Source organism: Homo sapiens, chromosome X, assembly GCF_000001405.40.
Source record: "Homo sapiens chromosome X, GRCh38.p14 Primary Assembly".
NCBI lineage: Eukaryota > Metazoa > Chordata > Mammalia > Primates > Hominidae > Homo > Homo sapiens.
The window spans coordinates 155,315,998-155,340,947 of record NC_000023.11 but is presented as its reverse complement, the minus strand read 5'-3'; the positions used below and the strand labels follow the sequence as shown (position 1 = coordinate 155,340,947).

Sequence of the window (24,950 nt, the reverse complement as noted above, 5' to 3'; positions counted from 1 at the left end):
AACCCCATCAAAAAGTGGGCAAAAGATATGAACAGACACTTCCCAAAAGAAGACATTTATGCAGCCAAAAAACACATGAAAAAATGCTCATCATCACTGGCCATCAGAGAAATGCAAATCAAAACCACAATGAGATACCGTCTCACACCAGTTAGAATGGCGATCATTAAAAAGTCAGGAAACAACAGGTGCTGGAGAGGATGTGGAGAAATAGGAACACTTTTACACTGTTGGTGGGACTGTAAACTAGTTCAACCATTGTGGAAGTCAGTGTGGCGATTCCTCAGGGATCTAGAACTAGAAATACCATTTGACCCAGCCATCCCATTACTGGGTATATACCCAAAGGATTATAAATCATGCTGCTATAAGGACACATGCACACGTATGTTTATAGCTGCACTATTCACAATAGCAAAGACTTGGAACCAACCTAAATGTCCAACAACGATAGACTGGATTAAGAAAATGTGGCACATATACACCATGGAATACTATGCGGCCATAAAAAAGGATGAGTTCATGTCCTTTGTAGGGACATGGCTGAAACTGGAAACCATCATTCTCAGCAAACTATCGCAAGGACAAAAAACCAAACACCGCATGTTCTCACTCATAGGTGGGAATTGAACAATGAAAACACATGGACACAGGAAGGGGAACATCACACACCGGGGACTGTTGTGGGGTGGGGGGAGGGGGGAGGGATAGCATTAGGAGATATACCTAATGCTAAATGACGAGTTAATGGGTGCAGCACACCAACATGGCACATGTATACATATGTAACAAACCTGCACGTTGTGCACATGTACCCTAAAACTTAAAGTATAATAATCATAAAACATAAAATAAAGTAAAATAACCAAAAGAGTATAATTTGGTTGTTTGTAATACAAAGATAAATGCTTGAGGAGATGGATACTCCATTTTTACCCTGATGTGATTATGTACTGCATACCTATATTAGAACATCTCATCTAACCCATAAATATATACACCTACTATGTAACCACAAAAATAATAAATAAAAATAAGATAAATATAAATTTAAAAGTTGATGTTATAGAGGTAGAGAGTAGAACAGTGGTTACCAGAGGCAGGGGAGGCGAGGAGGGAAGGAGAGATGGGAAGAGGTTGGTCACTGGGTACAAAGTTACAGTTATGGTTAGATAGGAGGATTAAGTTCTGGTGTTCTATTGCACAATAGGGTGACAATAGTCGACGATAATATGTTGTATAGTTCAAAATAGCTAGAAGAGATGATTTTGAATGTTCTCACTAAAAGAATAAGAGGGGGAATACTACAATCAATCTATGCCTATATATTTGATAACTTATATGAACCAATTTCTTAAACCCACATGGTAAAAAAAAACAAACTAATTCAAAGAAAAGTAGATAATCTGAATAGCCTGGCATGCATTAAAGAAACTGAATCTGTAATTTAAAACTTTTCAAGAAAGAGAACTCCGGGCCAGACAATTTCACTCATGAATTCTATCAAACATTTAAGTAAGATGTAATACAAATTTTACAGTCTCTTTCAGAAAATTAAGGAGAGAAAATGACCCCACTCATATTATGAGGATAGCATCATCCTAATACCAAACTCAGACAGAGATATTACGAGCAAAAAACAAAATAGCAATATCTCACATAAACATAGGTACAAATATTCTTACTAAGATATTAGCCAATCAACTCTAGCAATGTATAAAAAAGATAATGCATCAAGATCAAGTGGAGTTTATCCCAGGTATTCAAAGTTGGTTCAACATTCAAAAATCAATCAATGTATTTTATCATATTGTCATACTAAATACGCAACATCGAATGATCATATAAATAAATGCAGAAAAGGCATTCAACAAAATTCAATATTAATTAATGATAAAATTCCCAACAAGTTAGGAATAGAAGGAAATTTCCTTATTCTAATAAAGGCTATCCATGGAAAACCTACAGTGAACCACTGAGTAATTTTCCCCTAAAATCAGAAATAAGTCAAGGATGTCCTTTCTCACCACTACTATTCACTGTTAGTCCTGGAAGTCCCAGCTAGTGCGATAACACATGCACACACACACGCACACGCGCACACACACACACACACAGAGAGAGAGAGAGAGGGAGAGAGAGAGAGAAATGAAAGGCATACATATTATAAAGGAGAAAAATATACCCCATTATGTTGAAAACCCCAAATAATGTACAATAAAACTCCAAAAGACTCTTCCAGAAGACTCCTAGACTTGATAAAGAACTTCAGTAAAGTTTCAGGATACAAAATCAATGTACAAAACACAGTAGCATTTCTCTACACCAATATCATTCAAGCTAAGAACCAAATGAAGAACCCATTTACAATAGCCACAAAAAATAAAACACCTAGGAATACATTTAATCAAGGAGGTGAAAGATCTCTACAAGAGGAACTACAAAACACTGATGAAAAAATTGTGTATGACACAAATAAATGAAAACACATCCCATGCTCATGGATCAAAAGAACCAATATTATTAAAAATGACCACACTGCTCAAAGCAATTTACAGATTCAGTGCAGTCTCTATCAAATTACCAACACAATTTTTCACATAATTAAAAAAACTTAAAATTCATATGAAACCGAAAGAAGAGTCTGAATAGCCAAACCAATCCTAAGCAAAAAGAACAAAGCTTGAAGTATTACATTCTGACTTTGAATTATACTACAAGGCTATAGTAACCAAAACGTCATGATATTGGTATAAAAATAGACATATAGACCAACGGAACAGAATAGTGAACCCAGAAATAAAGTACCTATTAACAACTGATCTTCTGCAATATTGACAAAATTAAACAATAGAGAAAGAACACCCTCTTCAATATACGGTGCTAGGAAAACTGGCTAGCCATATGCGGAAGAATGAAACTGGACCCCTGTCTCTCACCATATACATGAATTAACTCGAGATGGATTAAAGATTTATACTTTAGACATGAAACTGTAAAAATCCTGTGAGAAAATGTAGGAAAAATTCTTCTGGACATTGGCCTGGCTTAGGCAAAGAATTTTTGACCAGGTCCTCAAAAGCAAATGCAACACAAACAAAAATAAACAGACGGGACTCAGTTAAGCTAAAAACCTTCCACACAGCAAAAGAAACAATCAACAGAGTAAACCTACCTAATGAGAAAAAATATTTGCAAATTATGTATCTAACAAAGGCTAATATCCAGAATCTACAAGAAACTCCAACAACTCAACAACAACAACAACGACAAAAACAAAAACAAAAAACAAGTAACGCCATTAAAAAGTAGGCAAAGGGCATGAATGGGTGTTTTTTGAAAGACATACAAGTGGCCAACAAACATATGAAAGATGCTCAATATCACTAATTATCAGAGAAATGCAAATTAAAACCAAACAATACTATCTTACACCAGTCAGAATAGCTATTATTTAAAAATCAAAAAACAACAGATGTTGGTGAGGATGTGGAGAAAAAAGTAATGCTTATGCACTGTTAGTGGGAATGTAAATTATCACATTTATGGAAAACAGTATGGAGATTTCTCAAAGAACTAAAAATAGATTTCTCAAAGAACTAAACATGGTAAAAAATGAAATACCATTTGATCCAGCAATCTCACTACTGGGTATCTACCCATCTGCATTTTACATATACGTGGAATACTATGCAGCCATAAAAAAATAATGAAGTCGTGTGTTTTGCAGTAACATGAGTGGAACTGGAGTACGTTATCTTAAGTAAAATAATTCAGAAACAGAAAGTCAAATATCACATATTCTCACTTGTAAGTGAGAGCTTAACAATGGGTACACATGGACATATAGAGTAGCATAATAGATATTGGAGACTACAAAAGGGTGGGAAGTTGACAAGGGTTGAAAAATTACCTCTTGGGTACAATGTTCCCTCTTCAGGTGATGGGTACACTAAAAGCCCAGACTCCACCACGATGCGATATATGCATGTAAGAAATCTGCACTTGTACCCTCTAAATCCATTTTTAAAATCGAAAAATATCACCGTAAGATACCGCTTCACAGCCACTGGAATGACTATTATAAGCAAACAAAGCAAAGAGCAAACAAGTTTTGGTAGGGCCTGGTGGGAGGTGTTTTCATCATGGGGGCAGGTCCTTCATGGGTGGCTTGGTACCACTCTCATAGTAATGAGTGAGTTCTCCCTCTGAATTCATTGCAAGAGTTGGTCGTTTAAAAGAGTGTGGCATGTCCCCCCACCACTTTCTCTCTTCCTCCCACTTTCATCATGTGAGATGCATGCTCCCACTCTACCTTCCTGAGGCTCTCACCAGAAGCAGATGCTGGCACCATGCTTTCTGTACAGCCTGCAGAATCATGAACCAATTAAACCTCTTTTCTTTATAAATTATTCAGCCTCAAGTATTTCTTTATAGCAAAGCAAAAATGGATTAACACAACATTTATATGAAATATTTAGAATAGGCAAATCCATAGGTACAGAAAGTAGATTAATGGTTGCCTAATACTGGGAGTGGTAATGAAGATTGATTACAAATGGGTAAGAAAGATGTCACTGACGTGATGCAAATGTTCTAAAATTAGATTGTAGTGATGGTTGCACCACCCAATAAATTTATAAAATCACTTTAAATATGCAAATTTTATGGCATGTAAATTATCCTAAATACAATATTTAAACACTGTGAGCATCAAGAAAAAAAGAGAACTTTCATCTCCTTACTTTGGCAATTTATTAGGGATCATACAGAGGTCATTAGGCTGTTTGTTGTTGTTGCTGTGGTGGTGGTGGGTTGTGGTTTTCCCATGAGAGTCGAGGGTCATGCAACCATTTGGTCTTTTAAAATAAAAATTTTTAAATCAATTAAAAAAGAATATTGCTGGCTTGAAATTTGGAGTAGTCATGGGGCAAAGAGAAGTGGATGGATTTTTTAAAATATTCAGGATGTAGAAGTGACAAGATTTTGTAGCAGTTAGATATAGGGAGTGGGGAAAGGTGAGGAGGCCTCAGACTGAGTATGCTTAAAGTTGAATTCCTGTTGTCCTCCCGAACTGGCTGTCCTGTGCTGCCAATCTCAGTGAATGGATCAGCATCCTGGCACAGAGTTGACATTCATTGATTGCCTTTGGAGTGAATGAACAGAGTATGATTAATAGAGTGAAAATATAGCTAAACAAGGCAGACACCAGGTCCTGCCAAATAGCCAGTACAAAACTCACCATTAAGGTTGGCTCAGCAGATGTCCAGCACAATTTTCTTCTCACTTTTCAAACCATTTGGGGAATCATGAGGTGTTTCCCTCATCCAGAAGAACACTCACCTACATATCAGCCACTCCTTCCCTAGAACCTACAGGTATGGAGCAGGCTGGGTTTTTTCAAGAGCCTCTTATCCTGTAAATCTTTACACAGGGCAATGGCAGGTGCATGTACAGCCCATATGAGCATGGGGAATGCTTGGTGTTATAGAAAGGGGATCACAGTGGTGCCCAACTGATGGATCTATGTTCAGTTTGGCTCCAAGCAGGAAGAGACTCTTCCCACCAAAGAGGTTTGTTAATCCCGGGGTCCCCCTCCCAGCCCCTGGAGGCATCAGATACAGCTGTCAGAAACATTGCAGACACAGAGTGATCTCACAGAGACATTCAGTTTGACTGGTTTTACTGCTGTTCCCAGGGTTGACAAGCAGAAATACAGAACTAATCATGGTTCCTGATACAGACGCCAAAACAAGGAAGTGATCTGTTCCAGTCCAAGCTTCCAAGAAATAAAGAACTAGGTGGGGCACACTAAACAAGCCCCCAGACTCAACCACCCCAGTGAACATTCCCTGGTTGTAGAGAGAAGTGAAATTTGCAACCCAGAACAGAAATCTGGCTGTGTGAGCAGTAGGATTGGGGGTGGAAACATTTAATGAAGTACAATTTTTTAACCCTCTTTTAGACAGTATCACTGGATAAACATCCTTTTCAATAATAAAAATCCAAGTCATTTCTGGCCCTTTTCCTGGAAGTGCTTTCAAGTTACAGGAACACCAATAAGAGGCCCTTTTCTGGGCATGGAGCCCAGGTCTCAAAGGGAGGCTCTAGAAAACATCTGGTCTGCTTGATATATAGAAACTAGCACTGCATGTGTGTGTTTCTGTGCATGTGTTTCTCCTGTGCTGACTCATGGCATTGAAGCCTCTCTGGAAACACCCCCACCCTTCTAGCCAGGCAGTTTATACACACCCCTTTGGCTCCTCCTTGATTTAAATGTTAGATCACGAGGAAGAAGGAAAACGATTTCAAGAGCTGCACTTAAGCATCTAGAATTTTCTGCGTCACACCTCTTGAGAGAAGAGACTGGCTCCAGGTCTGACTCAGTCCACTACAAGCTAGACGGTCTTCTTAAAGCACCAACATTACTTGAGTCTTTGGATAAAATTGAGAAAAGAGTCTACAAGTATTGTGGACTCTACAGGAGGCAGGAGGCTGACAACTGGCAGTAAAGACAAAGATGTCAGGCCTGCGGCCCGGCACTCAAGTGGACCCTGAGATTGAGCTTTTTGTAAAGGTAAGTTTTCCAGTTATAATAACTGCATGTAGAATATATTAGTTTTTGACACTGAAGTCCAATGTCTTTAAAAATTCTCCACATTTGGGCTAGAGATAGGAAAGAATGTTGTGATTATTTTCCTACTCTGAGTTCTAGAAGAATGCCCGGGTGTGTGACTGTTCTTAGATGACAACAGGAAAACAGATCTCTTCTGAAAAAGGCAAGGTGATATGGTGGAAAAGCACTAGACTGGTTTGTAGTGAGCGACTAAATTATATTCTTAATGGCTTCCTATATAACCTTAGAAAAATCCCTCCTTCTCTCCAGACTTTTTTTTCTCCATCTATACAATGAAGGAGCATGACAAGATGATCCTTAAGGGCTTTCCAAGTCTCAAAATCTGTGTTTTATGAGATAGGTTTTGGAAGGCCTGACTGGGTGGAGGAGAGGGCCGAGAATGACCTGAGAACTCCATTCCCACACATAGCCTAGACAGAACTTTCTAAACTTCTACAATGGACAAACATCACAGCAGGGTCACATGGACACTGGGAGAAAAAAAACAGGAGTCTGTGTGCTTGTTATGTGAGGAGGGGGACATTTTAGAATGCTCTGCTTCTTCTTTTTGGTCTGCCATGGAGTTGTTTTTTTTTTTTTTTAACATGTCAACTTTTCAGAAAAGCACTTTGGAAAACCCCTAAATCAAGAGAAAGGAACATGTGTTTCCAAATTAGCTCATCAAGAAAGAAAAATTTATATGGGTTATTCCCAGTAGAAATTAAACAGCTTACTAAATCCTCGCTTACATTAACTGTGTAGCTTTTCCCTTTATTTTCACTGACTATTGGATAGTATTCAGGATAATAAGAACAATAACAAACTCATATTGTGCCTGGCTCTTTTCTAAATACTTTACATATGTTACCTAATTTAGTCCTAACAACTTAGGAGATAGGTTGTTATTAATGGTGCTTGTATAGTACTAGCATCATCAGTAGTAGTAGTGATAGTAGTAGTTATTACTACTTCATTACAACTTTTAGTTATTACAATATTATAATGTTGTTCTCATCATTTCTAGATAGGTAAACTAAGGCATTAAAGTTTAAGTAACTTGCCTCTAAAACTATACAGCTCCCTGATGGCTTACAAAGACATAAAATAAGATATACTTACCAAATGTTAAGTTAAATACCTATTGGCAAAAGTAATGCTTTTACAGCCAGTTAGATTATTTAACAGCTTGTCACATATATACACCAAGGACATCATCAACCTGTCTTTTCAAAATTGTAAGAGAAAGACCCTTGAATTCCTGCAGTGCTAGGTAATGCAATTAAGTGTTTGCTAAACTATCGGGCATAAGAGCGACTTCTTCTATCTCTGGGTTGTAGCAAAACATATAACTGCTCAGATAGGATATAAATGAGCTGTAATTTCCTAACTGGCTTTTTACATTTACCAATTCCAAATCAGAAGTAATGTCTCTTCACTGGGTAACTAAAGTGTTCCCTTTGTCTGAACTGTTCATTCAACTCAATTAGACTCCTGAAATCAATTGTTGGCTTTCACCTATGTGTTTATCTTCATAGACTTTTCATATTTGGGTGGTAATCTGGACAGGAAACTTTAGCAAGTCACACATGGATGAGAAAATGTTGAATTAAATAATAACTTTCAAAGGAACCAATAATTTATTGAGTACTTACTATATGGTAGGCACTGTGCTAAGTGGTTTATTATTAACCCTCTTTTATGAATACAGAAATTAAAGCAAAGAGCAGCTAAGTAACTTTGTCCAAGGTCACATAGCTAGTTAGTGGCAGAGTTAGAATTCTATTCCTTTAAAATAGCTATGTCTAATATTATTCAATTGTTTTCAGTTGTGTGAACTTTTTAGTAAACTAGTCCAGAATTTTATCAGGTGGAGTGCTTTAGATGTAAGCTTATCTAATGACATTGATACAAATTACAGATTTTCTGGAAGAACCTCAAATATCATCTGGTCCAGGTTTTTGTTTTATTTTAAGCTGTGTTCCACAGATCTCTAGAAGTTTCGTGGAAGATACTGGGAGGGGAAATAGGGGTTGAGAAAGACTAAAAGTGCTAATGAGTAATTTTTAAAAGGCATTACTACAAGAGATTAAGCATTCTCCTGTCACAATTAAGAATTTATACTACGATATCTATGTGTTCTGTGTAGTCAATAAAAACATTGTCTTTTAGCTCTGAATGATTTGAGCAAGGTTTCTATCCAATAACTAAGAACAAAGATTTCATAACACACATTTTATTTTCTCTAAGTGTAGGGATGAAATAATCTTAATGATTTGTTGTTTGTTGTTAAATGGAATGTTTGCATTCTGTACCAAAGACTCTAAAATTAAGTTTTAGTATATTTGTACATAAAATTATGGAATTTAACATTTGGGCCAAAATTCTGAATGTAATACTTTTGTCAAAAACTTTTTTTAATGTGTGGGGGAAAGAAGGAAGAGATGATACTCTACTCTGAGTGTTCAGACCATTTCAAAGTATCTTATAGCTATTATAAATACTTATAAAGACTGATTAATATAAAAATTCAACAAAACTATTAAATGAGAGAAGGCAGTGTTTAAGAGTATGGTGTCTGGAGGATATAGTCCTGGTCCTGAATTTACTGAGTGAGAAGAGGATGTATGTCATCAACTCTTGATTAGCCGACTGTACTTGAGCAAGTCAGCCTCTCTGAGCCTCAGTTTCCTCACCTGTAAAACAAGTGTAATAACAGAGCCTACCTCATAGCATCATCCTATTTGTAAGGATTAAATAAAACAAGTGTATAAAGCACAGTAGTTGGCAATGTAGTAAACACTTTATAAATGTTAACTATTGTTGCCATTATTATTTTTCATGTTTAAAAACTTAGATCACAAACACAAAGAAAAAAATTGTTTTGGTGAATGGCTGCATCCTGTCTTTGCCAGCTGAAGATAATTAAGAGATCAGTAATTCATCAATCAGGCTAGCGAATTTATATCCTAAAATTGTATGTGATGGCACTTTAAATCAGCATAACATAACAGAAAAAAAAACCCTTCAGTTTTCCTGTAAAACTTTACTGCATTTCCCCCACACCTCAGTGTTTTGATTTTCCTTTTGCCAAAGGCGATCCACCCTTCCTGCTGTATCTATTATCAGACTCCATTCTTCTTCCTGCCTCCCACCCTTAATCATGTTTCCACTCACTAAACCTAGTTTTGATTGGATCCTTAGTCTGACTTCTATTACAAAACAAATGCAGCTGGTAAGGTTGGTTGCCTCTTCCCATTCCTCTTCACACCCTGCCATCATAAAGATCAACAATATCATTTTCTTTGTCACATCCACTATCAGGGAAAGAAAATTTTGTCAAAAAATTGAAATTTTGTCCAGTGTTTCTGGACCTTAATAATTCTACGCATAATAGATCAGAGCAGCCGTAAGATGAAGTACCTTTTATTTCCTTCTATAGGCTACTCTCTCTAGTCTTTCCTATCATAATTCTTGGTGATTTTAATATCTACACAGATGATTCTTCCAACACTCTAGCCCCTCAGATCCCTGACTTTCCCTCCTCCAGGGATCTTAGTCCTCATCATCTCTCAGGTGCTTCTTCCCATAGTCATACGCTTACCTTTGTCATTGCAATGTCTGCAACCTCTGCATAATATCATTTATTTGGGGGTGTTTTTTGTTCTTCTTTTTGAACTTCTCTATTTTCATAGGTACATGTTTAACTTTGACAAAATACTTTAAAAAGCAGTTGTACCATTTTACACTTCACTTCATTATGTGAGAGTTCCACTTGCTCCACTTTCCTGTCAACACTTGGTATGGTCATTCTTTTTCATTTCAGTTATTCTAATGTGTTTATCATGGTATCTCATTGTGGTTTTAATTTGCCTTTCCCACATGTCTAATGATATTGGGCATCTTTTCATGTCCTTATTTATCATCTGTATATCTTCCTTTGTAAAGTTTTCAAATCTCTTCCCCATTTTAATTGTTCTTTAACTTTAATTTTTAATTTTTGTGAGTACATAGTAGGTATATATATTTATGGGTTGCATGGAATATTTTGATACAGGCATGCAACATGTAATAATCACATCAGGTAAATGGGATATTCATCCCCTCAAGCATTTATCTTTTGGGTTACAAACAATTCAATTATACTGTTTTAGTTATTTTTAAATGTACAATTAAATTATTTTTCACTGCAGTCACCTTATTGTGCTAGCAAATACTAGGTGTTATTCATCCTTCCTAGCTATTTTTTGTACCCATTAACACTCTTCACCTCCCCACACACACAGACTCACTACCCTTCCCAGCCTCTAGTAGCCATCCTTTACTCTCTCTATGAGTTCAAATGTTTTTGTTCTTAGCTCTCACAAATAAGTGAGAACACGTGAAGTTTGTCTTTCTGTGCCTGGCTTATTTTATGTAATATATGACGTCCAGTTCCATCCATGTTGTTGCAAATGACTGAATCTCATTCTTTTTTATGGTTGAATAGTACTCTGCTGTGTATATGCCCACATTTTCTGTATCCATTCATCTGTTGATGGGATATTTAGGTTGCTTCCAAATCTTGGCTATTGTGAATAGTACTGCAATGAATGTGGGAGTGCAGAGATCTCTGTGATATGCTGATTTCCTTTCTTTGGGGTAGATACCTAGCAGTGGGATTGCTGGACCATAAGGTAGCTCTATTTTCATTTTTTTGAGGAACCTCCAAACTGTTCTCCATAGTGGTTGTACTAATGTTTACATTCCCATCAACAGTGTTTGAGGATTCCCTTTTCTCTATATCCTCGCCAGCGTTTGTTATTTCCTGTCTTTTGGATAAAAGCCATTTTATTAGGTTGGTGCAAAAGTAATTGCGGTTTTTGCAATTGAAAGTAATGGCAAAACCGCATTTACTTTTGCACCAACCTAATAACTGAGCTGAGATGATATCTCATTGTAGTTTTGATTTGAATTTCTCTGATGATCAATGACATTGAGCACCTTTTCATATGGCTCTTCACCATTTGTATATCTTCTTTTGAGGAATGTCTATTCACATCTTTTGCCCATTTGTCAAACACAGTATTAGATTTTTTCCTATAGAGTTATTTGAGCTCCTTATATATTCTGGTTATTAATCCCTTGTCAGATAGGTGGTTTGCAAATACTTTCTCCCATTCTGTGGGTCGTCTTTGCACATTGTTGATTCCTTTGCTGTGCAGAAGCTTGTTAACTTGATGTGATCCCATTCGTCCATTTTTGCTTTGCTTGCCTGTATTTATGGCATATTATTCAAGAAATCTCTGCCCACTCCAATGTCTTGGAGAGTTTCCCTAATGTTTTCTTTTAGTAGTTTCATAGTTTCAGGTCTTAGATTTAAGCCTTTAATCCATTTGTATTTGATTTTTTGTATATGGTGAGAGATAGGGGTCTAGTTTCATTCTTTTGCATATGGATATCCAGTTTTCCCAGCACCTTTCCCCAGTGTATGATCTTGGCACCTTTCCTGAAAATGAGTTCATTGTAAATGTATAGACTTATCTCCAGGTTCTCTATTCTTTTCCACTGATCTATGTGTCTTTTTTTATGCCAGGACCATGCCATTTTGGTTACTATAGCTCTGTAGTATAATTTGAAGTCAGGTATTGCTTAGGAGATAGCTTTGGCTATTCTGGGTCTTTCCTGGTTCCATATAAATATTAGGATTTTTAAAAATTTCTGTGAATATATGTCTTTGTCATTTTGATAGGGATTGCATTAAATCTATAGATTGCTTTGGGTACTATGGACATTTTAACTATATTTATTCTTCCAATTCATAAATATAGAATATCTTTCCATTTTTGTATGTCTTTTTCAATTTCTTGTATCAATGTTTTATAGTTTTCAGGTAGAAATCTTTTAGTATTTTTGTTAATTACTATGTACTTTATTTCATTTGTAGCTATTGCAAATGGAATTACTTTCTTGATTTTTTTTCACATTGTTCACTGTTGGCATATAGAAATGTCACTGATTTTTGTACGTTGATTTTGTAACCTGCAACTTTACTGAATTTATCAACTTTAAGAGTTTTCATTGGAGTGTTTAGGTTTTTCCAAATATAAGATCATATCATCTGCAAACAAGGTAATTTGACTTCCTCCTTTCCAATTTGGAAGCCTTTTTATTTCTTTATCTTGTCTGATTGCTCTGGCTAGGACTTCCAGTACTATGTTGAATAACTGTGGTGAAAGTGGGCATCCTTGTTATGTTCCCAATCTTAGAGGACAGGATTTCAGTTTTTGTCCATTCAGTATAATACTAGCTATGGGTTTGTCATATATGGCTTTTATTCTGTTGAGGTATGTTCCCTCTATACCCATGTTTTTGAGGGTTTTTTGTCATAAAGGGATGTTTAATATTATCAAATGCTTTTTCAGCAACAATTAAAATGATCATGAGGTTTTTGTTCTTCATTCTGTTGATATGATGTATCTCATTAATTGATGTGTGTATGTTGAACCATTCTTGCATCACTGGAATAAATTGCACTTGGTCATGATAAATGATCTTTTGTTTTGTTTTTGTTTTCACTTTTAAGTACAGGGGTACATGTGCAGATTTGTTATTTAGGTAAACTTGTGTCATGGGTGTTTGTTGTACAAATTATTTCATCACCCAGGTATTAAGCCTAGTACCCATTAGCTATTTTTTTTTCTGAGTCCATGTATTCTCATCTTTTAGCTGCCACTTGTAAGTGAGAATGTGTGGTATTTGGTTTTCTGTTGCTGCATTAATTTGCTAGGGATAATGGCTTCTAGCTCTGTTCATGTTCCTATAAAGGACATGATCTCATTCTTTTTTAAAAAAGTGACTTTATTTTATTTTAGTTACATAAATTACAAAATATCACTAAGTGAAAATAAAATCAATAAAAATCATCCATGATACCACCCACTTTAACATTTATGTGTATAGCCTCTTATGCTTTATTTCCTCACATATATAGATAAATACATTCATCAAAAAGAGGTTATTTCATATATTAAGTTGGTACAAAATTAATTGCGCTTTTTGCCATTACTTTTAATACATTGTTTTGCAAACTATTTTTATTTCACAATATATTATGAATTTATTTCTATAACATTAAATATATTATCTGTATGTATGTGTGTCTTGGTTTCTTATGACTAAAATTTTTTAAAATTAAGGCGTTGTTATGTTGAGATAGTTGAAGATTCACATGCAGTTTTAAGAAATAATACAGAGAGATGCTGTGTGCCCTTTACCAAGTTTCCCTTAATGATAACATCTTGTAAAACTATAGTATGATAAGAAAACCAGGACATTATTGACATTGATGCAGTCAGATACAGAAGATTTTCATCACTACACAGATCCGTGTTGCCCTTTTAAAGCCACATCCACTTGTGTCTCATCCAGTCCCTCAACCATTAATCTCTTTTCTGCTTTGATAATTTTATCATGTCAAGAATGTTACGTAAATGGAATAAAACAGTATATCACCTTTTGGGATTGTCTTTTTTTTCCCCACTCAGCACAATTCCCTGGAACTTCATCCAAGTTGTTGTGTGTATCAACAGTTTGATCCTTTTTATTGCTGAGTACTACTCCATGATACTGATATGCCACAGTTTGTTTAATTATTCAGCTGTTGAAGGACATTTTGGTTGTCACTAGTTTTGGGTTATTACAAACAAGGCTGTATAAATCCTCTTTTACAGGTTTCTTTATGGACATAAGTTTTCATTTCTCTGAGATAAATGCCAAAGGGTCTAGTTGTTTGGTCGCGTAGCAGCTGCATGTTTAGATTTGGAAGAAATTGCCAAAGTGCTTTCCAGTGTGGTCATACTATTTTACATTAAAACCAGCAATATTTCTGTGCATTCTTACCAGCATTTTGTGTTGTCACTATTATTATCTTAACTATTTTGAAAGCTGTGTAGTGACATTTTATTGTTTAAATTTGCATTTCCCAAAAGGCTAATAAAATTGAACATTTTGTCTGCTTATTTGTCATCTGCATGTCCTCTTCAGTGCAATGTCTGTCCATGTCCTTTGCTCATTTTCTTTTTTCCTTTTTTATTTTAGAGTATTTAGTTGGCAAATAAAGATTGTATATATTCAATGTATACAACACAATGATTTTGTTTCTTTTTAAAAAGAATTATTTATTTTTCAATGGGTTTTTGGGGAACAGGTGAAGTTTGGTTACATGAATAAGATATATAGTAGTGATTTCAGAGATATTGGTGCATCCGTCACCCAAGCAGTGTACACTGTACCCAATGTGTAGTCTTTTATCTTCACTCCCCCACCCCTTTCTCTGAGTCTTCAAAGTCCATTGTATCATTCTTATGCCTTTGCGTCCTCATAGCTTAGCTCCCAATTATAAGTGAGAACATACCATGTTTGGCTTTCCATTCCTGAGTTACTTCACTTAGAATAATAGTCTCCAATTCCTTCCAGGTTGCTGCAAATGCCATTATTTAGTGCCTTTTTATGGCTGAGTAGTATTCCATGGTGTGTGTATGTGTGCATATATATATATATATATATATATATATATATATATATATATATATCACATTTTCTTTTTTATTATACTTTCAGTTCTTGGATGCATGTGCAGAACGTGCAGGTTTGTTACATAGGTATACATGTGCCATGGTGGTTTGCTGCACCCATCAACCCGTCATCTAGGTTTTGGGCTCCACATGCATTAGGTAATGCTCTCCCTCTCATTTCCCCCCACTCCGCAACTGGCTCCAGTGTTCCATGTGTTCTCATTGTTCAGCTCCCACTTATGAGTGAGAACATGTGGTGTTTGCTTTTCTGTTCCTGTGTTAGTTTGCTGAGAATGATGGGTTCCATCTTTATCCATGTCTCTGCAAAGGACATGAACTCATTCTCTTTTATGGCTGCATAATATTCCATGGTGTATCTGTGCCACATTTTCTTTGTCCATTCTATCATTGATGGCCCTTTGGGTTGATTCCAAGTCTTTGCTCTTGTAAATAGTGCTGCAGTAAACATATGTGTGCATGTGCCTTTATGGTAGAATGATTTATAATCCTTTGGGTATATACCCAGTAATGGGATTGCTGGGTCAAATGGTATTTCTGATTCTAGATCCTTGAGGAATTTTCACACTGTCTTCCACAATGATTGAACTAATTGACATTCCTACTAACAGTGTAAAAGTGTTCCTATTTCTCCACATCCTCTCCAGCATCTGTTGTTTCCTGACTTTTTAATGATTGCCATTTTAACTGATGTGAGATGGTATCTCATTGCGGTTTTGATTTGCATTTCTCTAATGATCAGTGATGATTAGCTTTTATTCATATGATTGTTGGCCACATAAATGTCTTCTTTTGAGACGCTCATATCCTTCACCCACTTTTTGATGGGGTTGTTTGGTTTTTTCTTGTAAATTTATTTAAGTTCCTTGTAGATTCTGGATATTAGCCCCTTGTCAGATGGATAGATTGCAAAAATTTTCTCCATTCTGTAGGTTGCCTGATCACTCTGATGACAGTTTCTTTTGCCATGCAGAAGCTCTTTAGTTTAATTAGATCCCATTTGTCAATTTTGGCTTTTGTTGCCATTGCTTTTGTTGTTTTAGTCATGAAGTCTTTGCCCATGCCTATGTCCTGAATGGTATTGCCTAGGTTTTTTTCTAGGGTTTTTATGGTTTTAGGTCTTATGTTTAAGTTTTTAATCCATCTTGAGTTAATTTTTGTATAAGGTGTAAGGAAGGGGTCCAGATTCCGTTTTCTGCATATGGCTAGCCAGTTTTCCCAGCACCATTTATTAAATAGGGAATCTTTCCCCATTTCTTGTTTTTGTCAGGTTTGTCAAAGATCAGATGGTTGTAGATGTGTGGTGTTATATCTGAGGTCTCTGTTGTGTTCCATTGGTCTATATATGTGTTTTGGTACTAGTACCATGCTGTTTTGGTTACTGTAGCCTTGTAGTATAGTTTGAAGTCAGGTAGCATGATGTCTCCAGCTTTGGTTTTTTGTTTGTTTGTTTTTGTTTTTTGTTTTTGCTTTGGATTGTTTTGGCTATACAGGCTCTTTATTGGTTCCATATGAAATTTAAAGTAGGTTTTTAAAAATTATTATTATACTTTAAGTTTTAGGGTACATGTGCACAACGTGCAGGTTTGTTACATATTCCAATTCTGTGAAGAAAGGCAATTGTAGCTTGATGGGAATAGCATTGAATCTATAAATTACTTTGGGCAGCATGGCCATTTTCATGATATTGATTATTCCTATCCATGAGCATGGAATGTTTTTCCATTTGTTGTGTCCTCTCTTATTTCCTTGAGCAGTGGTTTGTAGTTCTCCTCAAAGAGGTCCTTCACATCCCTTGTAAGTTGTATTTCTAGGTATTTTATTCTCTTTGTAGCAATTGTGAATGGGAGTTCACTCATGATTTGGCTCTCTATTTTGGTTGTATAGGAATGCTTGTGATTTTTGCACATTGATTTTGTGTCCTGAGACTTTGCTGAAGTTGCTTATCAGCTTAAGGAGTTTTTGGGCTGAGACAATGGGGTTTTCTAAATATGCAATCATGTCATCTGCAAACAGATACAATTTGACTTCCTCTCTTCCTATTTGTATATGCTTTATTTCTTTCTCTTGCCTGATTGCCCTGGCCAGAACTTCCAATGCTATGTTGAATAGGAGTGGTGAGAGAGGGCATCCTTGTCTTGTGCCAGTTTTCAAAGGGAATATTTCCAGCTTTTGCCCATTCAGTATGATATTGGCTATGGGTTTTTCATGGATAGCTCTTATTATTTTCAGATACATTCCATCAATAACTAGTTGATTGAGAGTTTTTAGCATGAAGGTATATTGAATTTTATCGAAGGCTTTTTATGCATCTATTGAGACAATAATGTGGTTTTTGTCATTGGTTCTCTTTACATGCTGTATAATGTTTATTGATTTGCATATGTTGAACCAGCCTTGTATCCCAGGGATGAAGCCAACTTGATCATGGTGAATAAGCTTTTTGATGTGCTGCTGGATTCAGTTTGCCAGTATTTTATTGAGGATTTTCACAACAATGTTTATCAGGGATATTGGCGTGAAATTTTCTTTTTGTGTGTGTGTCTCTGACAGGTTCTGGTGTCAGGATGAAATTGGCATCATAAAATGAGTTAGGGAGGAGTCCCTCTTTTTCTATTGTTTGGAATAGTTTCAGAAGGAATGGTACCAGCTCCTCTTTGTACCTCTGGTAGAATTTGGCTGTGAATCCGTCTGATCCTGTGCTTTTTTGGTTGGTAAACTGTTAATTGCTGCCTCAATTTCAGAACTTGTTATTGTTCTATTCAGGGATTGACTTCTTCCTGTGTCCAGGAATTTATGCATTTCTTTTAGTTTTTCTAGTTTATTTGTGTAGAGGTGTTTGCAGTATTATCTGATGGTAGTTTGTATTTCTGTGGGATGAGTGGTGATATCCCCTTTATCATTTTTTATTGTGTCTATTTGATTCCTCTCAGTTTTCTTCTTTATTAGTCTGGCTAGCAGTCAATCTATTTTGTTCATCTTTTCAAAGAACCAGCTCCTGGATTTATTGATTTTTTTGAAGGATTTTTCGTGTCTCTATCTCCTTCACTTGTGCTCTGATCTTAGTTGCTTCTTGTCTTCTGCTAGCTTTTGAATTTGTTTGCTCTTGCTTCTCTAGTTCTTTTAATTGTGATGTTAGGCTGTTGATTTTAAATCTTTCCCGCTTTCTGATGTGGGATTTTAGTGCTATAAATTTCCCTCTAAACACTGCTTTAGTTATGTCCCAGAGATTCCGGTACATTGTGTCTTTGTTCTCATTAGTTTCAAAGAACTTTATTTCTGCCTTAATGTCGTTGTTTACCCAGTAGTCATTCAGGAGCAGTTGTTCAGTTTCCATGTAGTTGTGCGGTTTTGAGTGAGTTTCTTAATCCTGAGTTCTAATTTGATTGCACTGTGGTCTGAGAGACTGTTTGTCATGATTTCCATTCTTTTGCATTTGCTGAGGAGTGTTTTACTTCCAATTATGTGGTCAATTTTAGAATAAGTGTGATGTGGTGCTGAGAGGAATGTATATTCTGTTGATTTGGGGTGGAGAGTTCTGTAGATGTCTATTCGGTCTGCTTGGTCCGGAGCTGAGTTCAAGTCCTGAATATCCTTGTTAATTTTCTGTCTCGTTGATCTAATGTTGACAGTGGGGTGTTAAAGTCTCCCACTATTATTGTGTGGGAGTCTAAGTCTCTTTGTAGGTCTCTAAGAACTTGCTTTATGAATCTGGTTGCTCCTGTATTGGGTGCATATATATTTAGGATAGTTAGCTCTTCTTGTTGCATTGATTCCTTGACCATTATGTAATACCCTTCTTTGTCTTTTTTGATCTTTGTTGGTTTAAATTTTGCTTTATCAGGAACTAGGATTGCAACCCCTGCTTTTTTTTTCTTTCCATTTGCTTGGTAAATATTCCTCCATCCCTTTATTTTGAGCCTATGTGTGTCTTTGCACATGAGATGGGTCTCCTGAATACAGCACACTGATGGGTCTTGACTCTTTATCCAATTTGCCGGTCTGTGTGTTTTAATTGGAACATTTAGCCCATTTATATTCAAGGTTAATATTGTTATGTGTGAATTTGATCCTGTCATTATGATGCTAGTTATTTTGCTCATTAGTTGTTGCAGTTTCTTCACAGTGTCGATGGTCTTTACAATTTGGTATGTTTTTGCAGTTGCTGGTACCGGTTTTTTCTTTCCATGTTTAGTGCTTCTTTCTGGAGCTCTTGAAAGGCAGGCCTGGTGGTGACAAAATCTCTCAGCATTTGCTTGTCTGTAAAGGATTTTATTTTTCCTTCGCTTATGAAGCTTTGCTTGTCTGGATATGAAATTCTTGGTTGAAAATTCTGTTTTTAAAGAATGTTGAATATTGGCCCCCACTCTCTTCTGGCTTGTAGGCTTTCTGCAGAGAGATCTGCTATTAGTCTGATGGGCTTCCCTTTGTGGGTAACCCGACCTTTCTCTCTGGCTGCCCTTAACATTTTTTCCTTCATTTCAACCTTGGTGAATCTGATGATTATGTGTCTTGGGGTTGCTCTTCTCGAGGAGTATCTTTGTGGTGTTCTCTGTATTTCCAGAATTTGAATGTTGGCCTGCCTTGCTAGGTTGGGGAAGTTCTCCTGGATAATATCCTGAAGAGTGTTTTCCAACTTGGTTCCATTCTCCCTGTCACTTTCAGGTACACCAGTCAAACGTAGGTTTGGTCTTTTCACATAGTCCTATATTTCTTGGAGGCTTTGTTTGTTTCTTTTCATTCTTTTTTCTCTAATCTTGTCTTCATGGTTTATTTCATTAAGTTGATCTTCAACCTCTGATATCCTTTCTTCCACTTGATTGATTTGGCTATTGATACTTGTGTATGCTTCACGAAGTTCTTGTGCTGTGTTTTTCTGCTCCATTAGGTCACTTATGTTCTTCTCTATACTGGTTTTTCTAGTTAGCAATTTGCCTAACCTTTTTTCAAGGTTCTTAGCTTCTTTGCATTGGGTTAGAACATGCTCCTTTATCTTGGACGAGTTTGTTATTACCCACTTTCTGAAGCCTACTTCTGTCAGTTTGTCAAACTCGTTCTCCATCCAGTTTTGTTCCCTTGCTAGCGAGGAGTTGTGATACTTTGGAGGAGAAGAGGCATTCTGGTTTTTGGAATTTTCAGACGTTTTGCACTGGTTTTTCCTCATATTTGTGGATTTGTCTACTTTTGGTCTTTTATGTTGGTGACCTTCGGATGGTGACCTTCTGTGTGGACATCCTTTTTGTTGATGTTGATGCTATTCCTTTCTGTATCTTAGTTTTGCTTCTAACAGTCAGGACCCTCTGCTGCAGGTCTGCTGGAGTTGGCTGGAGGTCCACTCCCGACCTATTTGCCTGGGTATCACCAGCAGAGGCTGCAGAACAGCAAAGATTGCCTTCTGTTCCTTCCTCTGGAAGCTTTGTCCCAGAGGGGCACCTGCCAGATGCCAGCTGGAGCTCTCTTGTATGAGGGGTCTGTCGACCCCTGCAGGGAGGAGTCTCCCAGTCAGGAGGCACGGGGGTCAGGGACCCACTTGAGGAGGCAGTCTGTCCCTTAGCAGAGCTTGAGCACCATGCTGGGAGATCCACTGCTCTCTTTAGCACCAGTAGGCAGGAACGTCTAAGTCTGCTGAAGCTGCACCCACAGCCACCCCTTCCCCCTGGTGTTCTGTCGCAGGGAGATGGGAGTTTTATCTATAAGCCCTGACTGGGGCTGCTGCCTTTCTTTCAGAGATGCCCTGCCCAGAGGGAGGAATCTAGAGAGGCAGTCTGGCTACAGCGGCTTTGCCGAGCTGCAGTGGGCTCTGCCCATTTCCAGCTTTCTGGTGGCTTTGTTTACACTGTGAGGGGAAAAGAGCTTACTCAAGCCTCAGTAATGGTGGACACCCCTTCCCCTACCAATCTGAAGCATCCCAGGTCGACTTCAGACTGCTGTGCTGGCAGTGAGAATTTCAAGCCAGTGGATCTTAGCTTGCTGGGCTCCATGGGATGGGATCCACTGAGCTAGACCACTTGGCTCCCTAGCTTCAGCCCCCTTTCCAGGGGAGTGAATGGTTCTGTCTCACTGGTGTTCTAGGCACCACTGGGGTATGAAAAAAAAAACTCCTGCAGCTAGCTTGGTGTCTGCCCAAATGGCCGCCCAGTTTTGTGCTTGAAACCCAGGGCCCTGGTGGAGTAGGCACTGGAGGGAATCTCCTGGTCTGCTGGTTGCGAAGACTGTGGGAAAAGCATAGTATCTGGGCCAGAGTGCACCATTCCTCACGGCACAGTCCTTCAAGGCTTCCCTTGGTTAGGGGAGGGAGTTCCCCGACCCCTTGTGCTTCCTGAGTGAGGTGACGCCCCACCCTGCTTTGGCTCACCCTCCTTGGGCTACACCCACTGTCTAACCAGTCCCAATGAGATGAGCTGGGTACCTCAGTTGGAAATGCAGAAATCACCTGCCTTCTGTGTTGATCTCGCTGGGAGCTGCAGACCAAAGCTGTTCTTATTTGGCCATCTTGCCAGCCCCCAGTTATTTCTTTTGCTATACAGAAGCTTTTTCATTTAATTAATTCCCATCTATTTAGCTTTGTTTGTATTGCATTTGCTTTTGGGTTCTTGGTCATGAAGTCTTTGCCTAAACCAATGTCTAGAAGAGATTTTCCAATGTTTTCTTCTAGAATTTTTATGGTTTCAGGTCTTAGATTTAAGTCTTTGATTCATCTTGAATTATTTCTGTATAAGGTGAGAGATGAGGATCCAGTTTCATTCTTCTACATGTGGCTTGCCAATTATCCCGACATTATTTGTTGAATAGGGTGTCCTTTCCCCACTTTATGTTTTTGTTTGCTTTGTTGAAGATCAGTTGGCTATAAGTATTTGGCTATATTTCTGGGTTCTGTATTCAGTTCCATTGGTCTATGTGTCCATTTTTATACCAGTACCATGCTGTTTTGGTGACTATAGCCTTATAGTCTAGTTTGAAGTCGGGTAATGAGATGCCTCCAGATTTGTTCTTTTTGCTTAGTCTTTCTTTTGCTATGTGGGCTTTTTTGGTTTCATATGAATTTTAGAATTGTTTTTCTAGTTCCGTGAAGAATGACAGTGGTATTTTCATGGGAATTGCATTGAATTTGTAGATTGCTTTTGGCAGTATGGTCATTTTCACAATATTGATTCTACCCATCCATGAGCATGGGATGTATTTCCATTTGTTTGTGTCATCTATGATTTCTTTCAGCAGTGTTTTGTAGTTTTCTTTGTAGAGGTCTTTCACCTCCATGGTTAGGTATATTCCTGAGTTGTTCATTTTATTTTATTTTTTGCAACTATGGTAAAAGGGATTGAGTTCTTATTTTATTCTCAGCTTGGTCACTATTGGTATATAGGAGAGCTACTGTTTTGTGTACATTAATTTTGTATCCTGAAACTTTGCTGAATTTATTTACCAGTTCTAGGAGCTTTTTGGATGAGTCTTTAGAGTTTTCTAGGTATACAAACATATCATCAGCAAACAGGAACAGTTTGACTTCCTCTTTACCAATTTGGATGCCCTTGATTTTTTTCTCTTTTCTGATTGCTCTGGCTGGGACTTCCAGTACTATCTTGAATATAAGTGGTAAAAGTGAGCATCATTGTCTTGTTCCAGTTCTCAGGGGGAATGCTTTCATCTTTTCCCTGTTCAGTATAACGTTGGCTATGGGTTCGTCATAGATGGCCTTTATTACCTTAAGGTATGTTTCTTCTCTGCCAATTTTGCTGAAGGTTTTAATCATAAAGAGATGCTGGATTTTGTCGAATGCTTTTTATGTATCTATTGAGATGATCATGTGATTTTTGTTTTTAATTATTTCTATGTGGTGTATGACATTTGTTAACTTGCAGATGTTAAACCATCCCTGCATCCCTGGTATGAAACTCACTTGATCATGGTGGATTATCTTTTTGATATGCTGTTGGATTTAATTAGCTAGCATTTTGTTAAAGATTTTTGCATATATGTTCATCATGAATATTGGTCTGTAGTTTTCTTTTTTTATGTCCTTCCTTGGTTTTGGTATTAGGGGGATACTGGCCTCCTGGAATGATTTAGAGATAATTTCCTTTTTATCCAATGGAATAGTGTCAATAGGATTGGTACCAATTCTTCTTTGAATGCCAGATAGAATGCAGCTGTAAATCTGTCTGGTCCTGGACTTTTGTTGTTGTTGTTGGCAATTTTTAAATTATCATTTTAATCTTGCTGCTTGTTATTGGTGTGTTCAGAGTTACTATAACTTCCTGGTTTAATCTAGAAGATCTTTGTATTTCCAGGAATTTATCCTCTTCTCTAGGTTTTCTAGTTTATGCATGTAAAGATGTTCACAGAAGCCTTAAATAATTTTTTTGTATTTCTGTCGTATCAGTAGTAATATCTCTCATTTCATTTCTAATTGAGTTTATTTGGATCTTCTCTCTTCTTGGTTAATCTCACTAACTGTCTATCAATTTTATTTATCTTTTCCAATAACAAGCTTTTGTTTCACTTATCTTTTGTGTCTTGTTTGTTTGTTTCAATTTCACTTAGTTCTGCTCTGATCTTTATTTCTTTTCTTCTGCTGGGTTTGGGTTTGGATTGCTTTTGTTTCTTCAGTTCTGTGAGGTGTGACCTCAGATTGTGTATTTGTGCTCTTTCAGACTTTTTGATGTAGGCATTTAATACTATGAGCTTTCCTTTTAGCACCACTCTGATGGTTAATACTGAGTGTCAACTTGATTGGATTGAAGGATGCAAAGTATTGATCCTGGGTGTGTCTGTGAGGGTGTTTCCAAAGGAGATTAACATTTGAGTCAGTGGGCTGGGAAAGGCACACCCACCCTTAATCTGATTGGGCAGCATCTTATTAGCTGCCAGCATGGCTAGAATATAAAGTAGGCAGAAAAATATAAAAAGATGAGACTGACTTAGCCTCCCAGCCTACATCTTTCTCTCGTGCTGGATACTTCCTACCCTCAAACATTGGACTCCATGTTCTTCAGTTTTGGGACTTGGCCTGGTTCTCCTTGCTCCTCAGCTTACAGACAGCCTATTGTGGGACCTTGTGATCATGTTAGTTAATACTTAATAAACTAATAGGATATATATAATATATATCCTGTTAGTTCTGTCCCTCTAGAGAACCCTGACAAATACAGCCACTTTTGCTGTATCCCAGAGGTTTTGATAAGTTGTGTCACTGTTATCGTTCAGTTCAAACAATTTTTGATTTCCATCTTCATTTCATTTTGACCCAACAATCATTCAGGAGGTTATTTAATTTTCAGGTATTTGTGTGGTTTTGAGGATTCCTTATGGAGTTTATTTCTAATTTTATTCCACTGTGTTCTGAGAGAATACTTGATATAATTTTGATTTTCTTAAATTTACTGAGACTTGTTTTGTGCCTTATCATGTGGTCTATCTTGGAGAATGTTCCATGTGTTGATAAATAGAATGTATATTCTGCAGTTGTTGGGAAGAATGTTCTGTAAATATCTGTTAAGTCCATTTGTTTTAGGGTATAGTTTAAGTTGATGGTTTATTTGTTGACTTTCTTTTTTGATGACCTGTCTAGTGCTGTCAGTAGAGTCTTAAAGTCCCCCACTATTATTGTGTTACCATCTATCTCATTTCTTAGGTCTAGTAGTAATTGTTCTATAAATTCAGGAGCTCTGGTGTTAGGTGCATATATATTTAGGATTGTGATATTTTCCTGTTGGACTAGTCCTTTTATCATTCTTTAATGTCTCTGTTTGTCTTTTTTAACTGCT

At 37.1% G+C, this 24,950-nt stretch overlaps 1 protein-coding gene across 1 annotated transcript in view; it reads left to right on the top strand.

Moving 5' to 3' along the window:
- Nucleotides 6,334-24,950, top strand: part of CLIC2 (chloride intracellular channel 2) — a 58,404-nt gene continuing 39,787 nt past the window's right edge. Inside the window, exon 1 of the mRNA NM_001289.6 lies at nt 6,334-6,577. Coding sequence (NP_001280.3) covers nt 6,521-6,577 — 57 coding nt within the window. The 5' untranslated portion in view covers nt 6,334-6,520. The remainder of the gene's footprint in view (nt 6,578-24,950) is intronic.